This window comes from Homo sapiens, chromosome 18 (genome assembly GCF_000001405.40).
Source record: "Homo sapiens chromosome 18, GRCh38.p14 Primary Assembly".
NCBI lineage: Eukaryota > Metazoa > Chordata > Mammalia > Primates > Hominidae > Homo > Homo sapiens.
The window spans coordinates 27711594-27715895 of NC_000018.10; the positions used below are offsets into that span (position 1 = coordinate 27711594).

Here is a 4302-nt window from a genome sequence, read left to right on the forward strand (position 1 = left end):
TCACTCTTCTTTATTCTTTCTATCATATATGAACATGCATATGGTATTTGGAGGTAAAAAAAAAAAAGTTCTTAGGGGTTATTTTTAGCTCAACATCTCTTCCCAACCTTAAATTCTTCATGCTTTGTGTAATTAATTTATCATAAAGAGAGTAATGTCAAAAGAAATTTCCTCTGAGTATAGAAGAAGCTGAAAAATTGTTGCAAGAAGTCAGAGCAGTAGTAAGGCTATTGCTGAACATGGGTTTATTAGAAAGCAAAATAAACAGCATACTGCATGCTGACTTCATCTTCATTAAGCATTCATACTGGAAATGCTTACCTTGTCCACAGCCAAGATGTTATCCTTTGGAGAAGGAGAAGGAAAAAAAAAAGGAATTACTAAGCCAGCATACTGCAAGTGTTTCATGGTTTGGAGCAAGCAGTGTTAACGTAAAATCTTTTAATATGTTAGCCTAAGCAATTTGGCCTCCAAACAATTGGAATCACCTTGGAGCAGGTCATAATGTTGAGGAAGGCAGCTAGAAAGGAGAATGAATTGACTTGCACTCTGCCATGCAGAGAAATGTAAATAAAGGTTGGAGAGGCCTTTATGGCAATGCCATTGTGGTTATGTGAGTCCACCTGGCCTAATATGTTAAGAGGATTAGCACTAAAGCTGCATGAACTTTGAAATAGCCCAATGAAGCTTATGTGCTTTCCAGTTTAAATTGGTCTTCAGCAAGACCTCTCTGATAATCAGGAATTTGGCAGCCTGAGTATTCTGCCACATCCTCTGAAGAAGGTCGAGCCCCCGGGTGTCAACACTGTAGTATCCCTTTTTATTTGAGGTAGAGATGGAGAGAGAGCCAGAAGGCAAAGGGGCAGGAATCACTATAGAGGTCACAGCGAAAGCCAAAATCTAAAATACTGCTCTTTCATGCTTACCCGAAGATCACAAGGTTTAATCAAATTAAATTTAAAAAAAAACCCTGCTGTTGCATCCTGCTTACGGCTGGCTTAAACAGTCAAAAGAAAAGCCCTTTCTCTACCCATATAAACTAGAGGGGGCTTTTCTGGGTAATGAATAATGTTTTCTTATAGGAAAAAATGCATTATATCATGTGATTCATGTGGACAACTAGTTTGGATAAAGAATCGGAACTCACAGTAAAATGGTTCTAAAGAAGCCCCTAAAATTATTAACTTCACACTTAGCAAAAATAGAGCTTAGCACCAACTAAAAAGGCACACTTCAGAATCTTCCCACCAGAAGTTAATCACTACACATGCTTAATAATTCCTAATGTCCTGTATATAGAGGTGTCTGAATGTGTTGAGCATCTCAATGTCCCTATGGTTATTTGACATCTCAAAGGCATGGTTGTGGAATCAGTGTAAAACACGTACTCCCAGCAAACATAAACTAAACAAACAAAAAAAAGATTTAACTCCTTTAAGGCCTGCCCCTCCAGATGCAAATTTCATGGAGCCTTTCGCTGGGGATGCCAATGATTTTGGAATAAGTTTACATGAACTGCATCATTCAGAAAGCAGCTGGGGAATTGTGTTCCTGCAACTCTCCTGGGTCTCCTTTGAAGCTCCTGCTTCTGCTTCAAAGATATCGAATGACAGGAACCTTTCTTTGTTTCCAGAAGGGGGGAAAATGTGAGGACTACTTAAACACTTGAGCCAGTGCTATGTCATCATCACAAGAGACACTAGCTGAGAACAGCAGTCAGCCCAGCAAAAGAAACTCTAAAGGATCAATAAAATTTGTCAATAAAGGAGAAGGTTCCTGGATTCAGAGGTTGTTTTTTTCCCCAAAGTGGAGGATGACCCAGATCATTTAAGGATACAAACAGAGGGAAAAAAAGAAACAAATAAAAGAAAAGAAAACAAAACAAAGCAAGGGCTATTTGCTAGCTTTGCAGAATTAATCCAGAAACAACAGATTTTGTGTTTATATTTCCTTCTAGTCTTGTGCCACAGCCAGTGGGTTTATGCAATATCTCTGTCATGTTCTCTTTTTCCCCTTTTGTGTCCATGGTACTAAGTGCATTTATGAGAAATCCAAGAGCTGGTTTTACAAAATAGAAAATCCATTGTATAAGCAATGAAATTTTTAGCAGAAAATATATTGTATTTTTAACAAACCATGACTTCTTAGCTGAAGGAGACATAATGCAGGATCAATTGCATGGACTGAAATGCTTATGCTCATCACAGATGTATTTTCATTTATAATTACGTCATGCAAAGAGCATTGCTGGGGCCCCATTCCAGACAGACAGGAACACCCACAGAGCCATACAATGTAGTTGCATGCTGAAGCAGTTGTTCACTCTCCTTTGGGACTTCCTTGCAAGGCTTTTTTTCAAACCAAAATCAACAAAGAGATAAAATGTGTGCAGCATTGCTCAAAGCATACTGGAAAATCTGTGCAAACGCCTCAAAATATAATTCGGGGTGGAGAGGTTATCTGAAAAATAAATGAATTGTCAACTTATTTAGCACTTGAAGTTCACCCCCACATTTTTCTGAATTGTACTTAGGAGTTCAGATCTCAAGAAAAAAGGCTGATGGACCAGGCAATTCTGAAATATCAAATCTGTCTTTTGATATCAACCCTTACTATGCTGTGTGGCTCATGATCTGACTTAAAGTGCTTAAAAGTCCTAAGACATATAGTTCTTCCCTTTTACCCAACCTTATAGCCTTGACCTAGTCCCAACACTTCCCCAAGGTCAGCCACAAGAGTATTAACCCTGAGAGACTGAATATACAAATGAACAATGGCCAGACCATGTGTAAAAATAGAACTCTGACCCACAACCAGCAGCAATCTGCCCAAGAAATTAACCCTTAATCTATAATAAGCAGCCTAGGAAGCCAGTCAACTACAAATATTAGACTCATAGAAAGTCAGACTGCTATCTCTATAACAGTGCAGGAAGTCAAACAATAACCGTTGTAACAATTGGCCAAAATGGCCAAGACTTGATTAATAACTGAGACCTCCTCTAAGCTTTGATCCTTCTACCAACTTAGAACCAACCAATGAAAGCCAAATATGCATCCCTAATCAACCACATGGTATGCCCCACTTCTAATTAGCCCACCTACAGGTTCCCCATGCCAATAGCCTCCAGTCAGAGCACACCTGAAGCCTTCCTTTTTTCCACTCTTAAAGCTTTTTTGCTTCTGGGCTGCCTTTGAGTTTCTGCCAAAACACAAGTTACAGAGGTTAACTCCCTTGTTACAGCAAGCTTGAATAAGTAGCCTTTGCTGGTTCTCTTTTGGTTGATCTTTGTTTATTTCCACAACTCATTGCTTCTTAAATGAGATATTTCTTAAGGTTTTCTTTGTGATTTCCTGATTTTCGAGTGATTTCCTGATTTTAGAGAATAATAACCATATTGTTAAGATTTATCCATTTGAAAAAGAGAGACAAAATCATATGTTTAGGATTCAGAGAGTGAATCAGCATCAGTCAGGAAGAGAGAGATCATGCTATATATTTAAAGGACATTGGCTATAGAGGAGTTGGAATTGTTGAGGTTGAAGGAAAGAGTGTTTAAAAAGCAAGAGAATGGTTGTTACCCTAAGATCAGGAAGCCACCACCACTCCTGGACTGGATCTTGTGGGCTCACACAAGTTGCTGTTCTGATGGAACCACACCACTCCTAAGCAGAAAAATGGGAGCTGCATTCCCACAATGACATTAGAACTCATACCCACTGGTAGCACCTCAGGTGGCTGCCATTGCTGTGAATGCTAGAGGCTACTGCCTGAAGCATTTCAGTATGCTTTTCCCCCTTTATCTTTGCAATATCCTGCTAAGGCCTTTTATTAGAAGCCAGGAAGCATTTTATACCAGGAAACCAGCCGGCGAAGAAGGTCTGGGAGATGTAGTCTTCTGACTTCTACATCCAGTGGCAGGGAGAAGGGCCAGTGCAGAGCTGAAAAAACAGTAGACAGTATCTGGTACATGTAATAAATACATTTGACCTACACTGGCTTATAAATCCAAATCAGAAGTATGTTCTGATTTATTAAACTTGCCTTTAAAATAAGATAAAGGAGTTGAGCCCATAATACTAGATTTTCATGTTCCTAGGAGGAAACAAGCAACAGAGAGATAGGCCCCATCCTCCCTACTTCTGATGTTACAGCCTTGAGGATGGACCCAGGGTGGTGTTAGGGGTGGGAGGGCAGAGAGAAGACAGGGCCAGAGAAGGAGGAATTTTTCAAAACTTCTCAGCCCTGGTTACAGATGGGAGTTATAGGAGGATGCTATATCCACCCCGTCACATGAAGCTC

General features: G+C 39.7%; 1 annotated feature.

The window, feature by feature from the left end:
- Positions 1345 to 2123: an enhancer, noted in NCBI's record as "OCT4-NANOG-H3K27ac hESC enhancer chr18:25292902-25293680 (GRCh37/hg19 assembly coordinates)". NCBI's record gives its function as "activates a minimal SCP1, AML or CMV promoter by ChIP-STARR-seq in primed H9 embryonic stem cells {active_cell/tissue: H9 hESC(primed)}" and the evidence as "EXISTENCE:reporter gene assay evidence [ECO:0000049][PMID:30033119]".